At 40.2% G+C, this 20,239-nt stretch overlaps 1 protein-coding gene and 1 pseudogene across 2 annotated transcripts, besides 1 other annotated feature; both read right to left on the bottom strand.

Moving 5' to 3' along the window:
- Positions 1-618: 618 nt before the first annotated feature.
- OR52K1 (olfactory receptor family 52 subfamily K member 1) lies at positions 619-11,470 on the bottom strand. Of its 2 annotated transcripts, none has more exons than NM_001005171.3 (2): positions 10,940-11,470; positions 619-5,543 (listed from the first exon to the last, which is right to left on the bottom strand). In NM_001005171.3, the coding sequence occupies exon 2, from the start codon at positions 5,213-5,215 to the stop codon at positions 4,271-4,273; it is 945 nt and encodes a 314-aa protein (NP_001005171.2). In that variant the 5' UTR covers positions 5,216-5,543; positions 10,940-11,470; the 3' UTR covers positions 619-4,270. The 2 variants fall into 2 exon arrangements, with proteins under 2 accessions (NP_001005171.2, NP_001372665.1); NM_001385736.1 differs by having other exon boundaries at positions 619-5,163.
- Positions 787-1,036: an enhancer, noted in NCBI's record as "active region_4324". NCBI's record gives its function as "activates an Ori minimal core promoter by ATAC-STARR-seq in GM12878 lymphoblastoid cells {active_cell/tissue: GM12878}" and the evidence as "EXISTENCE:reporter gene assay evidence [ECO:0000049][PMID:35858748]".
- On the bottom strand, positions 18,360-19,306 carry OR52K3P (olfactory receptor family 52 subfamily K member 3 pseudogene; annotated as a pseudogene).

Below are 20,239 nucleotides of genomic sequence, written 5' to 3'. Positions count from 1 at the left end.
TGCATAACGCCTTATGCTTATAATAAAGATCAACATAGCTGGGAAAAGGTCTCAAGACATTTAAAAGCCTGGGATGATAACTTAACCTTAGATATTTCAAAACTTAGGAACAAATTTTTGAGGCCTCACAGGCTCATTTAACCACTGTTCCTGGCTCAGACATTTTTGAAACAATAACTAAAGGATTATCTGATCTTAATCCCTTTAAATGGATCAAACCCCTTGGAGGATCATTGTTGTCCCTGGCATTATTAATATTGGCATGCTTGTGTTGTCTACTTTTAGCCTGCAGATGCCTCCAAAGAGTCTGAGGAAAAGTCCGAAGTCAATGACAAGCAATGATGGTGATGGTGATCCTAGTTAATAAAAAGGGGGGAGATGTGGGCGGCAAGCCACCCGGGTGCCAAGACAAGAGACTGAGGGCACAAGTTGTTCCAGTGTAATAAAGAAAACATAAAATCAGAATAGTTATACTAGAAATAGATTATAGATATGATGATACATGAATATTAATCATCAGCTTGTAGCATTACTCTTTATTCCAATATTATAATAATCCTTGCTCTACAATTATAACCTAGGAAAAACCAGGCCATACAGAGATAAGAGCTAAAGGGGCGCGGTGAGAAGTGACCAGAAGACAAGTGTGAGCCTCTGTCACGCCCGGACAGGGCCACTAGAGGGCTCCTTGGTCTAGCGGTAATGCCAGTGCCTGGGAAGGCACCCATTACCTAGTGGACTGTGGTCTAGTAGTAGTCAGTTCCTAGGGAAGACACCCGTTACTAACAGACCCAGAAAGGGAGTCTCCCTTTCCCTGGGGGAGTTAGAGAAGACTCTGTTTCACCACCTCTTGTGGAAGGCCTGACATTAGTCAGGCCCACCCACAGCCATCTGGAGGCCACAGCATCCAGCATCCCTGTGATGCTGTGCTTCAGCAGTCACGCTCCTGTTTCACTTTCACGTTCCACCCTGTACACCTGGCTCTGCCTTCCAGATAGCAGTAGCAGAATAAGTGAAAGTACTAAAAGTCTTTGAAATGCATAGAAGAAATAATGGTGTAAGCTGTCCTCTCTCTCTCTCCTTCTTGGCTGCCAAACAGGGAAGGGCCCCCTGTCCAGTGGACACGTGACTTATGTGACCTTATCAACCATTGGAGATGACTCACACTCTTTACCCTGCCCCTTTTGCCTTGTATCCAATAAATAACAGTGCAGCCAGGCATTCGGGGCCACTACCGGTCTCTGCATCTTGGTGGTACTGGTCCCCCAGGCCCAGCTGTCTTTTCTTCTCTTTATCTTTTGTCTTTATTTCTATGATCTCTCATCTCTGCACACAAGGGGAAAAACTCACAGACCCTGTAGGGCTGGTCCCTACAGTATAAGTAGATCATGTAAAAGTATGTATGGGAGCTTCTTTTTGTAGAACTGACTGAAGAAGTGTTCATTATGAGAGTTTGAAAGACAAAAGCAGAGATAAGTGAAATAATTTTATGATATGCTGTAAGAAGACTGTATTTCCTTTAAATATTCAGTCTTGAGCTGTCATGAGTTGAAATGCAAGATAGAACTCACAACTCCAGCAATTGGTGCTCCTTGGGTAAGGCTGTGAAACAAACAACTCCCAAATTTCAGTGGTTCACTACAAAAACAACAAAATCATCCTTGTTCATGTTATATGAACACTGTGGGTCAGTTATGACTATGCTACAGGCAGTGAGTCAGATTCACATCTGCTCCATGGATCTTCATCATGAGTCTAGGCTGTGATACGCTTATTCTTCTGGTAGAGGGAAAGAATGAAAGATAAGCTTTCCAGCCATATTTTAAAGTTTATTTTTTTTTTTTAGCAGCTCAAACACAATTTCTCATTTACACTTCTTACTCATTGTGGGTGGACTTTGGCTTTGTCACAGCCTCTAACTGGAACTTTGCTGGGTTTTGCAGCAGAGGGGAAAGAAAGCAGGAAAGTTAATGCACACTTTAATTTGCAAAGAATAATGGCCTCTAGCTCCATCCATGTTCCCACAAAGGACGTGATCTTATTTCTTTTTGATGGCTGTATAGTATTCCATGGTGCATATGTATCACACACCTCTGCAATAACACGTGTCTATATGGACCAGGCAACTTCTTGTCTTTCTGTTCCTTTCCATTCGATCTTTGCACCAATATCATAGTGTCCTTTTTAACTTTTATTTTAGGTTAGAGGTACATGTGCAGGTGTGTTATATAAATAAACTTGTGTCACGGGAGTTTGTTGTACAAGTTCTTTAATCACCTAGGTACTAGGCGTAGTACCTGATAGTTATTTTTCCTGATCCTCTCCCTCCTACCTTAAATAGGCCCCAGTGTCTCCTGCTCCTCTTTGTGTCCATGTGTTCTCATTGTTTAGTTCCCACTTATAAGTGAGAACATGTGGTATTTTATTTTTCTATTCCCCTTTTAGTTTGCAAAGAATAATGGCCTCTAGCTCCATCCATGTTCCTGCAAAGGACATGATCTTATTCTTTTTGACGGCTGCATAGTATTCCATGGTGCATATGTATCACATTTTCTTTATCCAGTCAACTGTTGATAGGCCTTTAGGTTGATTCCGTGTCTTTGCTATTGTGAATAGTGCTGCAGTGAATGTACACATACATGTTATCTTTATGGTAGAACAACTTAGGTTCCTTTGGGTACATACCCACTAAAGGATCACTCAGTCAAATGGTATTTCTGTTTTTAGGTCTTTGAGGAATCACCTACTGCTTTCCATAATGGGTGAAATAATTTACACTCCTACCAGCAGTATATAAGTGTTTCCTTTTCTCTACAACCTCACTAGCATCTGTTTTTTTTAATAAACTTTCTGATTCTCGAAGTACATTTCAGGGCTACTCAAATTTCATTGGCCAAATCAAGTCATACAGCAAAGTTTAAAATTCGTGGAGTGAAGGAAATACCCTACCCATGATAGAAGGACAGGAGACTAAATATTGGTGGACAGTAATACAGTCTATCACAACTACAATCATGTCTAACTAGTCATGCATTGCTTAATGATGGGGATACATTCTGAGAAATGTGTCCTCAGGTGATTTTATCAACCTGTGAACATCATAGAGTGTATTTACACAAACCTAGATGGTATCGCTTGCTATACACCTAAGCTATATGGTATAGCCTGTTGCTCCTAGGCTACAAACCCAATATTGTAGGCAATTGTAACACAATAAGTATTTGTGTATTTAAACAGAAAAATAGCTAATGAATACTAGGCTTAATACTTGGGTGATGAAATAATCTGTACAACAAAACCCCCATAACATGGCTTTACCTAGATAACAAACCTGTACATGTAACTTAAAAGTTAAAAAACATACAGTAAATATACGGTACTATAATGTTATGCAATCACCATCATATAGGTGATCCATTACTGACCAAAACTTCATTATGCAGTGTGTGACAGTATTGTATTTTCTTATTTTCAGAAATCTCAGCTTCAAGAGGGAAGGGTGTTATTTCTCTTTTCATGGTTCATAGTTCAAAGATAGTATTCAGCTCTTCTATCCGTTCATTTAATAAATATTACTAAGTATTTTGGAGGCAAAAGACATGCAGTGAAAAGCTAGATACATGATATAAATTGATAAAAAGGAACATCGGAGGACTCTTTTGATAAATGTTCACTAAAGGAATTGGCCATGTCTATCAGGAAGGAAGTAAAAGAGGAATTGACTTAATGGAAGAAATAGATCTACTTATAAATGGAGCTGTCTAACTGTAGAAATAAAATTGGGAGATAGTAGGCTATAAAGAGTGGCAAAGGGTGGAGGGTACTTGTCAGAAAAGACATGGGGGTAATTTCAGTACTAAAAGGAATAATGGTTTTGGGGTCACAAAATTTGAGGTACATTTCCTCACTCATACCTGGATAAAGAAGTCACCTGTTTGGGTGACTCAGCTGTTTGGGCCAATCTCAGCCAATAAAGGTCCTACTGTCTTTCACCCAGATTACAATACCACTTTGAGAGGTTTGTCTTCCTTAGCCATGTGATGAGTCTATGACAATGGGAAGGTCAAACCTCTACTATCAGACCAGACTATAGGTGCACTCCTGGTTTGACCTGACTCGTAGATCTGTGAGGAATGAAACCTCATTTTCCTTATCATACTAGAGAATTGTCAAAGATACTCTGCAATTTTCCTATTTAGATTTTTCCCCTCAACCCCAATCCAGCATTCTCATTACTTGGCAAGTGGGATAAAAAAAGAGAACTATCCATCTACATGTTCTTTCTCTGGAATAGACTGAGCACATACTCACGAATCTGCTTGGTCTTGACTCCATATATGATAGGATTGACCATGGGTGGGAAAAGGAGATAGAAAATAGCAAGGAGTATGTGGACACGAGGGGCAGCATGGCGGGCTACACGGTGCATGACTGAAGAGATGACTACTGGAGTGTAGGTGGACAGGATGGCACCTATGTGAGACACACATGTCCCAAATGCCTTGTAGCGGGCCTCCTGAGAGGCAAGCTGGAGAACTGCCTGAAGGATGAAGACATAAGACAGGATAACAAAGAGCAGGTCCAACACCACAATAAACATGGCCACAGCAATGCCATAGATATTGTTGAAGCTAGTGTCCCCACACGCCAGCCTTACCACAGCCATGTGTTCACAGTAGCAATGGGCAATCACTGGGCCTCGGCAGTAGTGGAAGCGTCTGAGCAGGAAGGGGAGTGGAGTCATTAGTGTCACAGCCCGGGCCACAGCAGCCATGCCAATCTTGGTGATGAGGGACCCAGTCAGGACCGTCGTGTAGTGCAATGGCTTGCAGATGGCCACATAGCGGTCAAAGGCCATGGCCAGCAGCACTGCTGACTCCATGATGGAGAAGGAGTGAAGGAAGAACATCTGGACCAGACAGGCAAAGAAGTTGATCTCCTGATCCCTGAACCAGAATATGGCAAGCATTTTGGGCAGCGTTGTAGAAGAAAGAACCAAGTCAATGGTTGCCAACATGGCCAGAAAGAGGTACATGGGTTCATGGAGGGCTGCATCAGCCTGGATAATGAAGAGAAGGGTACAGTTGCCTAGCAGGGCCAGAGTATAAGCAAAGCAGAAGGGGATGGAGATCCAGGCATGCAGGTGTTCCAAACCAGGAATTCCTACCAACAAAAAGACAGCTGGATGTGTTGAGGTGATATTAGAGGGAAGCATGGCTCCTGGAAATCTCCTTGTCAATTTTTACAGGGCTTCTTCACCTTCTATATATACCTTCTACAGTATATATGATTAGAGTTCAACCTGTGCTATCCCACCTGCAAAGATTACCTCTTGTTTCCATTGCTAGACTTTAAACAAAATAACCTAGCAGCCTTCATAGACATGGAGAAGTATAATCCATATTTTCTACCCTCAAAGAAATTTGAATCTCATTGAGTAGATGGGATATCAATTCTATGGATATTTAATATTCTAAGACAACTTTCATAAAGGAATGGAGTATATGTAGTGTTTTCTGTGTTCTTGGTGATGTCATGAATACCTTGAAAAAAGTGAAAATATGTTTAAATCAATTCATTTCTTTAGCACATACATTGGTACCATTCTACCTTTCAGTTAAGCTAAATTCCCAAATGCAAGAGCCAATTTTCTCTCCTGAAATCTGAGTTGAGTCCATGTATAAGTCAAACCCATTGGTTTCTAATGCCCAAATTAATCACACAATCTGCATATTTTCCCTAAAACTACTTTATCTGATATGGTTGCTACTAGCCATGTCACTATGTAAACCTAAATTTATACTTAATAAATTTCACATTTATACAAAATACTTTTCACGTGCTCAATAGCCACATGTGACTAGTGACTACCAAGAATATTTCCATCATTGTAGAAATTTCTGTTTAAGACCACTGCTCTACAGTATATCTTTCACATCTTCTCAGTATTCACAGGTCTCTGTAAATACAGCCATGCTGCAAGCATACGGAGAAAATGAAACGTCCTTTTTTGGTTCTCCACTGAAACTCATGTTAAACTCCCTGTGCATGTGACTCTCCCTCCACCTGTCTTCCAGTTCCTTCTTTTTGTCACAGGAGAATTTGCTCTCATCTTTAGCAAGACTGACTTATGACTTCCAAATATCCTTCTTGTTAACAATTTTTCACCTTTTTATCTTGTTCTGGTCATTGTTCTTTTTTCAGATCCTTAAACACTAGAGTTACCCAGTTTTTACCAAGACTGTTATAAAATTATAAAATATATGTTTGTATAAAACATATATTTATACAAAATATAAAATATAGGATCCACTTAATGAGATTCTTTTGAGGATTAAATGAGATAATGTACTTCAAACACTTAATAGTCACAGAACAAAGTAAATATTGAAAACAAAAACTGGGTCTCTTTTTCAAAAAGAAACTGTTGGGAAATATAATAATTGCTCTAAGATATTATAGCTAATAGTGTCAGACAGCCATATCTGAGTCCTTCTTTCTACCGATTCCCATGTCTTAAGTAACTAGGCTTATTGTTTCCATCTAGATGCCCTATATGCAACCTGCATCCAGCATAACCAAACTGAAAACTAACTTCCTTCCATAACATTTGGAAAATGTTTAGAATCTAAAGTTATTGGCTGAAATCATGACTGCCACATATTCTAGTGGTAGACCTTGCACAAATCACTTATGTACTAGTTTGTTTCCTTCTCTGTTAAAGGTAGTTCAGTGCTATTTCCCTTTATCTGAGGGGTATAGGGAGGTTAAGTGTGATTATGTATAAAATCATTTTGTATAATTCCTTAGTGTGCAGAGCTTTGTCACTTATATTTCTCTTCTGTAGAACTGTTACTTTTTAAAAAATTATTTATGTTGATTAATCTACCGTGACATTAAATCCTCCTCCCTTTATTCAAACCTCTGCTTTTCTTTACAGTGAAACATGTAGAAAGGTCTACAATCTCAACTCTCTCAAGGATAATTGGTTTTGAAACATATCAATCTGGATTTTATTCCCATCACAAACCAAAAATTCCTTTTACTGTGACAATCAATGACCTCCATGATGATGGTGCCCTTATCACTTACCTGGCTTCATGCAACTGGACCGCTGAGCAACTTTTATCTGAATTGACCACTCTCCTGCTTAAAACTCACTTTTCTCGTGTACCACCATATTCCCGTTTCCCAGCTCCAGAGTGTCTCACTTCCTTCTCCTGCTTCTGCCCTAACTGTAAGTATTACATTTCTACAGTTCTCAAGCATCTTTTCAAATTTTATATCCATGTCATTCAGAAAATATACTAACTAAATTTAATGACAACTATTTAAACATTTTTACTGAAGAGGTTAAGGAAAAATTTATGAACAAAACAGATGGATCCCTTAGTAGAATAAGTTTGCTAAAGGTTGGAGAAGGATAATAAAAGGACATCATGATTAAATTACATATTATACAAAGTTTCATTGTTGTGATTTAAAAACCAAGGAATAGGGCAGTTATGATAGGCATTTCATGATAGGGAGCAGGAGAAGTTGAAATTTGAAATAAAAAGCTCATTATACACCTTATTAGAAAATTTGAGAAAAATTGAATGAGGTGAGGAAATACTTGGCTTCACTTCCTTAAATGCCAAACTAAAGTTTCATGCCAGTGGTATATACAGAACAATTACACAGTGAACAAGAATAGGATGAAGGAGTGGAACAGGAAAGAGAATATGGATCCAAAGTTGCCTTACTGAGATGGATAATCCAATTCCACATGAAGAACCATAGAGAAGGAACCAAAGAATTGTCCACTCTAGACACAGAAGAGGGGAACTTTTATCCACTGGCTTCCACACCCCATAGGTCAAGGATGACCCAAGGAGTGTAGATTTCCTTGCATTTTCAGGTCCATACATGTACCAGAATAACACAATGAGATCCCTGAGGTGCCCATGCAATAAAGCAGAGAAACTGTGGGAGGTGGGATACAGCTGAGTAAGGTGCTATCAACCTACACCTGCACTCGAATGGTTCCCACAACAATGCCTACAACAAAAAGGGGAGATGACAGGACATGAGAAGACCATAATAGATTTGGAATATAGGAGTCACCCAGGGGAAAGGAACAGTCTAAGAAAATGGAACAGCCAGAGAAAATGCCCCAAGACATAAAAACACCTGTTATTCAAATATCAGCAGGCAGCCAGCACAGGTAGGATGAAGCAAATGAGCAGGAGAATCAGGTCAGAACAGTGGGGCCAAATCACACAGGGCCCCACAGGCCTTTGTGGACTTTGCAAAAGTTCCCCATTTCTCTCAGAATCAAGGACATTGTTTTCAGCAGAGAGGAGATGTATGTGACTTATACTTTTAAAGTTTTCCCTGGCATCTATGATGGAGAATAGCACAAAGAGGGAAGGGTAGAATTGGGGGAAAGTACCTGGAGACTATTGCAGGAATCCAAGGAAGGGAGAACATTGGCTCAGAATCAAGGTAGCAGTGTATGTAGTGGGAAGTAATAGGATTGGGGATATATTTTTAAAATGTGTCAGTGGCATTTTTGACAGGTTAGATATAGGAAGTGAGACAACAGGGAGTCGAAGATGACACCCTGATTTTTGGCATAAACCACTGATAGGAGCTGCTCCCAACTGAGACGGGGAAAGCATGAAAGGAGGAGCTCGAGACTTCAATTTTTGAACATGGTGAGTTTGAGATATCAGAAATTCAAGTGAATATGGTAATACGTATAGAAAATAAATCATATTTAAAGCCACAAAACTGTTTGAGATCGCCCAGACAGTAAATGTTCACAGAAAAGAGAACTAGAGAACCCAGAACTGAATCCCAACATTAAGAATGGATGGGAGAAGAGTTGGAGCACACTGAGATATTCGCAAGGGAAACTGACAGTGGAAACTATTAAGATAGAAACATCCCCAAATAATGTACTATCTTAGTATATAGAATATAGTTTACTAACAAGTGGATTATTACCATGTAAAATGCTACTGATGAGTCAAAGAACTTGAAAACACAATTGGCCTTGTGTTTAGAATTGCACAAGAGGATTGGATACCTTGATAAAAGCAATTTTGCTAGAAGAGAGACAGGCAAAGCCTGACTTGACTGAGTTAGAATAGATAAGAGGGGAATTGAAGTTTGTTAACATGGCTAACTTTTTTGAGGAATTTGGAAGCAAAGGACAGCAAGTAAATAGGGCACTGGCTAAAATGGAAAGCGAAGTCAACTGTGTGTGTGTGTGTGTGTGTGTGTGTGTGTGTGTGTCTGTGTGTTTTAGAACAGAAGTATCATGTCTTTAGCTGAAGCAAATTATCCAGTAGTAGGGGAAAAGTTGAAACTTAGACGAAGAAAGAGAATACTGCTCCTGAAAAGACCGTGAATATTGCATCTTTCTAGGTGGTCTGCTGGTTGATCATTGAGAATATAAACATATCCTGAAACAAACACAAATTTACATACCTTACATTCCTTGTAAGCTCCAGACTAGGATATCCAACTCCATACTCGATATCCCCACATATCTTCCTCACAGATATGTCAAACCTGCCATGCCTGAGGCAGAAATCATGACTACTTCTCTTCTTGTGCTGCCCATATCTCAGAACGTAACATCCTGCCCAACCAGTTGCTCAACCTAGAATCAAGTCATCCTGGATTCTTCTCTTTTCTTCCTGCATCATATTTAATCATCAGCAAGCACACTGGATCATCCTACATAGTAAATCTCCACGTTGCCCATTGCGTTTCCAACACTTCCACCCTTCCAACACCATCACCCTTGTTCAAGCCACAGCATCTCCCAGCAACTACTGCTACAAAAGAATCCTAACAAGTACACAAAGTTCCACTTTGTTCTCCAATATTTATCCTTCAACAATTACCCACCATATCATGAAGTGAAGGGACTGGAGTTAAGAAACTCTACCTATTTTCCTTCTGTAAACCCAGCCTCTAACATACATAGGTGTGGAACATTTCACTAAATAAAACAGACTACTAGATTATTGGAAGACATATTTCTCAGAATACTACTCCCCTCATGTGATTTAAGCTCAGAATTTGGGTTATCTTCTCATTTAAAATGCATCCAGAATGGAGGTTCTAAGCATCCCGATTACAATACTTTGTTACCTGCATCAGAATAAAATTCTCTTCTTAATGGAAAATACTATTTTAAATATTCATAATGTTTGTGCATTTTTGTCAGGAACAAGCTCTTATGACAACAGACATTTTTATTTTCAAGTACATATCAGTACCTAGAAACATGCCTGGCGTCTAAGAAACTCTTCTAAAATACTGTGAAATAATCCCACAAACCTGCTGCATCTTTACCTTATCTCAATATGTATTTTCCACAAAACCCACATGTTTTACTTTGAGTCTCCATGTCCCCCTAGATTCCTCCATTCAACTTTTAAACATCACTAACCACCCTGTGAGCTGTCTACCCATCTTCATACAAGAAAAAAAGGCATCTCTTCTATCAGATTTCTTCCTGAAAAGACAGGGTGTCTAATAGTTCATAAATCTTACTTCCTTTGAAGTTCATCTAAAATCAACTCCTCAGAATGAAGTGCTCTGAGTAGGAGTGTGAATGGAGCCAGTCTTCTTCCCCTAATATCCAGAAACTAAGACCTCCTCTGTAGTGCAAGTTTTGTCCAGACTGTTCATTGTTTTCAGAACTAAGATGTCCATGCTCAAAGGATTTATCTTCTATTTCTCCTTAAAAAAGGCCTCTGTACCCAGAATGGACTCAATTAATACTGAATCTATTTGGTTGCCTATACCTTTATCTTAAAAGGATATCAGAATGACATATCTGAAAAACTTAGAACCAGACAAGGAAGGATAATCACATAATCAAGATACTTCAGGACTGCTTCTGGTAGAAGAACCTCAAAGATAAGGTATTTCTTACCTTTCCCTGCCATCTTTCTAGTTCAGGCCTCGTTTTCTTCCTCTTGACTAATGCAGAAGCCCTTTAACTGGGATGGGGCATTTGCCAGGGGTTAGAAAAAGCAATGACAGGAGGTGAGAAGTGACAGATCCAAACTGGAATAATCAACTAAGACTTCTTGGAGATGGCCCACAGTGTTTGGCATAGGACGGAAGCAGGCATCCTCTGTGGTGGGGAGAGCATCTGGAGTTTGTGTACCAAACAGTTGGGTGGGACTATCGAGACTTCTGTTCCCTCTATTGAAGGACCAGAGTAGAAGCAATAACAGGGTTGGAGAGCTGATGCCTAAGATCAGGAATGGCTATGGGAAGAAATTGACAGTGCCCCCACCTTCCAGCTCACTCCCACCTTCCTGCTCACCCCAATAACATCACTTGTTTTCTATTTCCCTAAGTTGCAGCTGTATCCACAGTCCTCAGTCTGACTTACAATCCTGGGCCCTTTTCATTAGCTTCATGCAGCACCAGTGCCGCCTTCCTCTTTCAGTCTAAGGAGTCTTAGAAGGAGGAAGCTGGGAAGCGAGCAGCTGGCTTTAATCCTCACCAACCTCTGCCCTTCTCCCAGAAGGCTGTGGAAGCAGAAACTGCTGCACTTGAGCAGAGTCCTCAGAGACATCTCTGGCCTCCTCTCTCTGGGTTGATGCAAGGGGACTTCCCCTGACCCAAGGGGACTGTATCCTTGTTTCCTACAACCCATGCCTCCTCCCCAGCTAGTGGCACTGAGTTGTGCCTACCAGGGGTCATGCCCTACTTGCCAGAGGCTGTGAGACTTTCAGGTGGAGCTGGCTTGTGTCTTGGTGTTTGCTGTGCCTCTCCTTACTCTTTATCCTTACAGTGTCTTCAAAGAAAGCCAGCCTCATCAGAAAATATACACTGCAGGCAACTCCTGTCAGAACTGACTTGAAAGGGCAGGGAGTCCAGCCTGACCAGGCCAAGGTCATCCATTAGGCATTTTATTTTGCATTCATATTTCATATTGGCCTGAGATATGCATTAATAACCAGCTCGTGAACTTGATCTGGCACCTGTCTGATCCCTGATCTATTTTTCTTATCTCTAAGGTAGAGATAACTTTTACAATATTTTCTAACTCACAAGGATAGGAGGATCTAAGTAGATAAACAAGAGGCCACTATGAATGTGATTCCTTATTAATAATTAGGAAATTACCAATCATCTATAAATGATAAAGAGTGATCTTTCTACCTACAGCTGACTTAATGTGTGCTATTTTTCAAGGACCTGAGAAGATGCTTTTCACTAGAGTTCTCCATGGATTTTGTCTACCCTAATTCCCCATAATTTTTAAAAGCAATCTCAGAACGCTGTAACTCAGTCATCTCACTCCCTTCCCACACAGGTACCCTGGAACTAACTTCCCCTTCTGTAATAGTTGGCCCTCAAGGGTGTGGACTCAGCACTCCTCCATGATAAGTCTGATCTTTTGGGATGCTGGGATAAAGTGGAATTCCTACATAGTTTTAACAATGTACAGCTAGGCCAAGGGGATACAGCCTGTATGAAAAGCACCTCACCAAAACCTAATATGGCAAAAGCCAGATAAAAGCCAGACAAGAGCCAGATAGAATAGACAGTGTTTTTGTGAACAAAGCACCTTAATTTGCCCCCAACTCCATTCTGAATGGGCAATCCTGACATCATAGGAGCAGGATAAGAAGCACATGGAGTGGGGGAGTGGGCAGTGGGGCCATTGGCTCAAACCATGCTGGAGATAACTGCTGGAATATTGGAACACTTAGACTGTTTAATTCATTGACATCCTCCCCACCCTATCTTTTCTTTTGTAAAATCTAGATTCTTTTACATTCATATGCATCTTTGTTTTGGTGTTCTTCATTCCCTCCAGGTTTTTCATGTTTCCATCTGGATCATTTTTTTTCTGCATGAAAAACTACTTTTATTTTTGCTTTTATTACAGGCCATATAGTGACACATTCCATCAACTTTTGCTCATTTGTAAAATTATCTTAGTCATCTTTGTTTGTGAAAGATGACTCACCTCCCGGGCCTCTGTCTAAAATTCTATTTCAATTTGAATAGGTTTTTAAATGGGCAATTCTTCTTTCATCCACTTTAGTATATTAATTGTATTCTGCCTTCACTTGCTTTTTTTGAAGTCAAGTATCTATTAATATCAGTCTTATTGTTGATCCTGTGAATATAATGTGCCCTACCCATACCTGGGTGCTGCTTTCTTTTTTTTTTTTTCCAGTTAGCTGTGATCACACAGAACATTGTAGGCCTTTGTATCAGTCTGTTCTCACACTGCTATGAAGAACTACCTGAGACTGGGTACTTTTATGGAGAAAAGAGGTTTGACTGACTCACAGTTCCTGCAGGCTGTACAGAAGCATGGCTGGGAGGCCTCAGGAAACTTAGTCATGGCAGAAGATGAAGGGGAAGCAAGCAGGTCTTACCACAGCGGAGCAGGAAAAAGGGAATGGGGGCGGGGCCATACGCTTTTAAACAGAACATCAAGGGGGAAATCTGCCCCCATGATCCTATCACCTCTCACCAGGTCCCCTCTTCTGACATGTGGGGATTACAATTCGAGAGGAGATTTGGGTGTGGACACAGAGCCAAACCATATCAGCCATGTAAGGATTTCACTTTGCAAAGGTTCATAATTTCTCTCGGAATAAAAGCCAAGGTTGAGCAGTGAATTGACATTATTTGACATATGTTTTTTAGATATTGCTTCTGACTTAATGGGAACAGCACAAGATGATGAGGATGAAAGCAGAGAAAGGATTACAGATGCTATTGTAGGCATCCAGAGAGAAGATGGTGTTTCCAAATCAATGTGTTAATCATATATATGGAGAGAAATCAGATGTATCAGATTTTATATCTATTTTTTAAGTGCCAGTGGGAATTCCTGAAAAATTAGCTCCAGGCTGTGAGAGAAAAAGAAATCAAAGATAACACCAAGACTCCTTGCTTGAGGAACACGTAGGTGGGAAGGTGTTGTGAGGGTTGCTAGGCAGAACAGGATCCTATACTCAAGCATTGATCCTACTTTAAGGATGATGTGCACCTCTGTGTCCTAGCTTGGAATGTTGGGATGACCTAGTTTTTGAGTGATTAGAAGTATTGCATCTAGGCCTAGATAACTGCATCAAGTTTCCTTTATCCTAATCTATATACCCATCTATATGGGTATAAAATTATATGTGCCTGTAGGCTACTCATATTTCTTATTCATGTTTTGATTGTGTGCTAAACTCAAATGAGCTCATAGAGAAGGTAATTTTCCTTTTACTATTTGTGACTAATCCTGGCTGTGCTAATGTTATGTTGATATATTACCTGTCTATGGGATCCTTATACTACTGGACTTGTTCTGGGAACAAAATTATTTCTTCACTGGGGATAGATATGACCTTAAGGATGATGTTATTCCCCGTATAAGTCAATGGGAAAATAAGATTTCTCTTGTTGGAAATACCTTTTAAAATTCATGCTCTTTTCCATGTTTGTTTATATGTGGTTACAACTTAGTGTTTATTTTTTAGCTGCCCACCTGCCCCAACTATTCTCAGACAAAATAATCAAGAGGTGTTGACTACATGAGGCATTTGTCTTTGTGTCTGAGGGATTCATGGGAGCAGTGATGGAATATAAGGGGAAGCAAGAGTGTAGGTTCTTGCAATACTCTTGTCTCCTGCACAGCTTCCAACCTTCTACACCACACCTGACAAATGCTTGGAGATTGTTTCAAAGATAACTAATATAGAGAGAGATAGAGATGCTTCCTAAACAGTAGTCTCTGAGGAAACAATGAAAGGGGTCACAAAAAATGAAGTACAAGAATGCATTTGTGGAAGATGATGTATGAAAATATACTCATTTTCTAGGCTGTAATAACAAAATACCACAGACTGGATGGTCTCAATACAGAAACCTATTTTCTCAATTCTGGAAGCTAGATGTTCAAGTTAAGGTGTGGCAAGGTTGATTCCTTTTGAGGCCTCTCTCCTTGGCTTGGACATTATCTTCTCCTTGTGTCTTTTCTTATATGGACACCTGTTGTATTAGATTGAGTGCCATCCTAATAACTTCATTTTAACTTAATTAACCTCTTTGAAGACCTTATCTCCAAATACAGTCATATTACTCTGAGATACTAGGGTTTAGGACTTCAACATATGAGTTTACTGAAAGGAGACACAATTCAGCTCATAACACCCTGCCTTCTGGCTCCCTAAAGTCTAGTCCTTCCCACATGCAAAATACAAGCATCCCCAATTCCAGGGGTTAACTGTAAATACAAAATCTCATCTAAATGTAATATCTAAATCGTTTATGTGACACTCTGGTATGAATCCATCCTGAGGCAAAATTTCCCTCCATCTATAAACCTGTGAAACCAGACAAGCTACCTGTGACCAAAATATAATGGTAGAACAGGCACAGGATAGGCATTCCCACTCAAAAAGGGAGAAATCAGAATAAAAGTGTTATGAGTCACAAATAAGTCTAAAACCTAGCAGGGCAAATTACACTTGATTTAAGGCTCAGAATAATCCTTTTTGACTCAATGGACAGCAGCCCTAATCCCTCAGTCCTGGGTTAGAGGCACCCTGGCCTTCTGAAACCAATGGGCTGGCTCTGCCCTCTGGAACCAAGGAAGAGGCAGCCTAACCTCCTGGATCTGTGTCTTTTGGGCTTGTGGTGGCAGTGGTATCCCTGCCAACCTCTGAACAACCTTAGGGTATGTTCTCCCTTTTCTTTAAGGATAATGCACGTTTGCAGCTAAATAGCTGTATTGGGCCATCCTCTGGAATCCCGGAAGTCCAGCTACCTTCTTTCATGTCATCCTAACTCTGTTCATTTCTGCTGCTAATAAAATTCTCAAAAAGCATGTTGGTCTCTGATGCAATTCATGGGGTCCAAACTATCAGATAAAAGGGATTCCTGTGAGTCTTTCCTGCATAGCCCCATCTCTATTCCTGGCTTCTGCTGAGATGGCTGATTGTATTCATAAACACATGCCTAATCCTTTTTTTAAAAATTGGCACATATTAATTGTACATATTTAGAGGGTGCAGGCAATATTTCCATACATGTATACAACTGGTAATGATAAAATCAGGGTAATCAATTTGAGATAATCTGTCACCTCAAATATTTATCATTTCATTGTGTTGAACATTCAAAATCCACTCCTCTGGCTGTTTTGAAATCTATACTAAATTATTAACTATTGTCATTCTAGTGTGCTATGGAATACTAAAACTTATTCCTTCTACCCAAAGGGCAATTTTCTACCCATTAACCAACTCCTCCCTATACCCTCTTCCCCCCTACTCTTCCAAGCCTCTGGTAACCACTATTCTAGTCTCTACTTCTGTAACACCGACTTTTCTTTACCTCCCAAATATGAGTGGGACCATGAAGTACTTGTCATTCTGTGCTGGTTTATTTCATTTAATATACCTAATCTTTTTAGAAAATGGTTATCCAGCCACACCCTTGATATTCTTTCCAAATTACACTTATTTATTGTAATATGGATATGCTGAGAATTTTTCAGTCTTTAATTCCTGATTCCTTTTTGCTTAAATTCTTCTCCAACTTATCTCTCTCCTCACTCATAAGCAACAAGAACAAACCGGGTCACAATTTCAGCACTTTGCTTAGAAATCTCCTCAGCTAAATATCCAAGTTCATTACTTACAAGTTCTACTTTCCACAAAGTACTAGAACACAATTTGTCCAAGTTCTTTTTCATTTGATAACATAGATCATCTTTCTTCCAGTTCCTCCTTCCTGAGACCTCACTAAAAGCATCTTTAATATTCATATTTCTACCTACAATCTCTTCGAAGAAATCTTAGCCTTTTTTAACACGCACCTCAAAACTTTTTCAGCTTCAGCCCATTACTCAGTTTCCAAGCAACTTCCACATTTTTAGGTATTAGTTACAGTAGCACCTTACTTTCTGGTGCCAAAAGTAGTTTTCTAGGGCTTCTATAAAAGGTAATACAAACTGGGGGGCCTAATAAACAGAAATTTATTTCTTCACAATTCTAGAAGATAGAAGTCCAAGACCCAAGCAGAATTGGTTGCTACCGAGGCCACTCTTCTTGGCTTGTACATGGCCATCTTTCTGTATCTTTACGTGGTCTTCACTCTGCCTGTGTCTGTGTACAAATTTTCTCTTCTTATATAGACACCTGTCATATTGGATTAAGGCCCATCCTAATCACCGCATTTTAACTTAAGTATTACTTTAAAGACTTCATCCTCAAATACAGTCACATTCTGAAGTGCTGGGTGTTAGGATTTTAACATATAAATTGGAAAGGGGAACAAAATTCAACTCATAAGACACGGTATGAGGGAGCATCAGAGGTGCAGTTCTCAGGATTAATATTAAGGGAATTCTTGAGTACCTAAGTTTGAATGAAATAGAACAAAACCTAAGTCAATACGCCCACATCTCATCTTCTTTGACTTCTCATATTTCTTCTATGCTGGGCCTTGGAATGGTGAGTTTAGAGAACACAAACCATTGGAATTATTCCATCCTCTGTCTGAGGACATAAACATGAGTCCAGCATCCCTTTCTTAACAGTCTGTATCCCTAGCAGATAGCATAGACTTGGCTAGATTATTAAATAAGTAAACAATTCACATTCTTGTTGAAAATATAAGATACGTCTATGCACAAAGAAAGAGTTATGTGATATATAATAAAATGTCAGAGGATATGGTTTTTCTTCAAAGTATTTAATGAGATGGAATAGCCATGAGGATGAGGAGGTAAAAAGAAGTCAAAGAATACAGACTGGCTTAGTTGAAGAAATAACCTTCTAACAAGCAGAGCTGTCTCACTTGGAATAAATAGGCCTAAAGGATGCATGTGCACCAGCACTGACAGTGTTTAGGTAGAGTCTAGGGTTCAACTGTTAGAATGTAGCAGAACTCCTGCACTGGATGGAGTAGAGGTCCTAACTCGGGAATCTGAGTGGATAATTCACCAAATTTCCAACAAGTCAGAGATGGAAATTCAGATTTTCACAGTCTTCTCTTAGGCAAATGAACTTGGAAGCATCTTTGTGTCCTTCAGCAAAGTCACCATGAGGCCGGAGGGTCAAGACTCTGTCAAGTTTACTGACAGGAGTCAGGGCTCTGTGAGGAGACAGCACAGTCACCAGGTTCAATCCAGAGGCTACCAGAGGGCAAAGACCCACAAATTCTAAACAGACTGTTGGCACTGAGCTTCAGGACATCATTTATTCTTTCCATAATACAAGAAAAGAACTAAACGTGGAGTCTAGCACCCATCTACTCTCAGCACAGCCCTGGCCCACTACAGCATTCACTGTGCCCCACTCTTTTTCCACTTATTCCTCACTCTCTATTCACACATCCTTTCTCGGGAATACTCCCAAGACTGTCACGGATCTGCTTGGTCTTAACGCCGTAGATGATGGGATTGACCATGGGTGGGAAGAGCAGATAGAAATTGGCGAGGAGAATGTGGACGTGTGGCGCAGCACAGCGGGCCACACGGTGCATGACTGAAGAGATGACTGAAGGTGTGTAGAAGGCTAAGATGGCACCTATGTGAGAGACACATGTCCCAAATGCTTTGTAGCGGGCCTCCTGAGAGGAGAGTTGTAGAACTGCCTGAAGGATAAAGATATAAGATAGGATGATAAAGAATAGATCCAACACTCCAATAAACATGGCCACAGCAATGCCATAGATATTGTTGAAGCTAGTGTTCCCACAGCCAGCCTGACCACAGCCATGTGTTCACAGTAGCAGCGGGCAATCACTGGGCCTCGGCAGTAGTGGAAACATCTCAGCAGGAAGGGGAGTGGAGTCATTAGTGTCACAGCCCGGGCCACAGCAGCCATGCCAATCTTGGTGATGAGGGACCCAGTCAGGACCGTGGTGTAGTGCAGTGGCTTGCAGATGGCCACATAGCGGTCAAAGGCCATGGCCAGCAGCACTGCTGACTCCATGATGGAGAAGGAGTGAAGGAAGAACATCTGGACCAGACAGGCAAAAAAGTTGATCTCCCGATCCCTGAACCAGAATATGGCAAGCATTTTGGGCAATGCTGAGGAGGAAAGGACCAGGTCGATGGCTGCCAACATGGCCAGAAAGAGGTATATGGGCTCATGGAGGGCTGCATCAGCCTGGATGATGAGAAGGAGGGTGCAGTTTCCAAGCAGGGCCAGTGTATATGCTGAGAAGGGGATGGAGATCCAGATGTGCAGGTGCTCCAGGCCTGGAATCCCCATCAACAAGAAGGAAGTTGGATGTGTTGAGGTGATACTGGAGGCTGACATGACTCTTGGAAATTCTCCTTGTTGATCTTCATAGGCTCCTTCACCTTCTAGGAAGAGTATCCAGGGTACATAGGATTAGAGAGTTCAATCACCTTCTATGATGAGCCCTTGTTACCATTCCTAGTCCTTAAACAAAATCCACTAGAAGTTCTCATAGACATGGAGAAGCATAATCTATGGTTCCTGCCCACAAGAAACTCTCATTTTTACTGACATCTAAATATTTAGATATCAATAGACCTGATACCACTAAACAGTTCTCATAAAGGAATGCAGAAGTGGTATTGTTTTGTGTTCTTGGTGACAGGATTATCTTGATCAAACAAGTAAAATATGTTTAAATCAATTGATTTAGGTCATACATTGTTACCATTCAACCTACCAATCAAACAAAACTCCCAATCATATGAGTAAATTTTCTGTTGAACTTTCTGGCTTAAGTGACTATATAAGTCAAATGAACCCTGCAATTCCAGTGCCTCAATTAATCATACAATCTGTTTAACTTATCTGGAAGTATACTATCTAATGGCATTGCCACTTGCCCAAATGTGGCTATTTCTAGTCATCAAAAATAAAATTAAAAATTCATACCTCAATCAGAAAAAATTAAGTGTTCAGTAGCATCTAAATTTAAGTGCTCAATAGACCTAATTTAAGTGCTCAATAACCCCATGTGACTAGTGGCTACTATATTGGACAATTTAGGTCAAGACTATTTCTATCCTTGCAGAAAGCTCCATTAAAGGGCACTGCTCTATAATACATCTTCCAGGTTCTTTTAACAAAAACTTTAAAAATACAGCTATGCCTGCAGCTTACGAGAAGATGAAGAGCCTTCTCTTTTGGTTTTCCTTCATCTAAACTCACATTAACTTTCCTGTTCATGTGGGTCTCCCTCCGTCCATCTTCCATTTCCTTAATTTTCATCA

The sequence above is a fragment of the Homo sapiens genome, chromosome 11 (genome assembly GCF_000001405.40).
Source record: "Homo sapiens chromosome 11, GRCh38.p14 Primary Assembly".
Classification (NCBI taxonomy): Eukaryota; Metazoa; Chordata; class Mammalia; order Primates; family Hominidae; genus Homo; species Homo sapiens.
The sequence above is the reverse complement of the archived record's forward strand: the minus strand, read 5'-3'. Positions and strand labels throughout refer to the sequence as shown.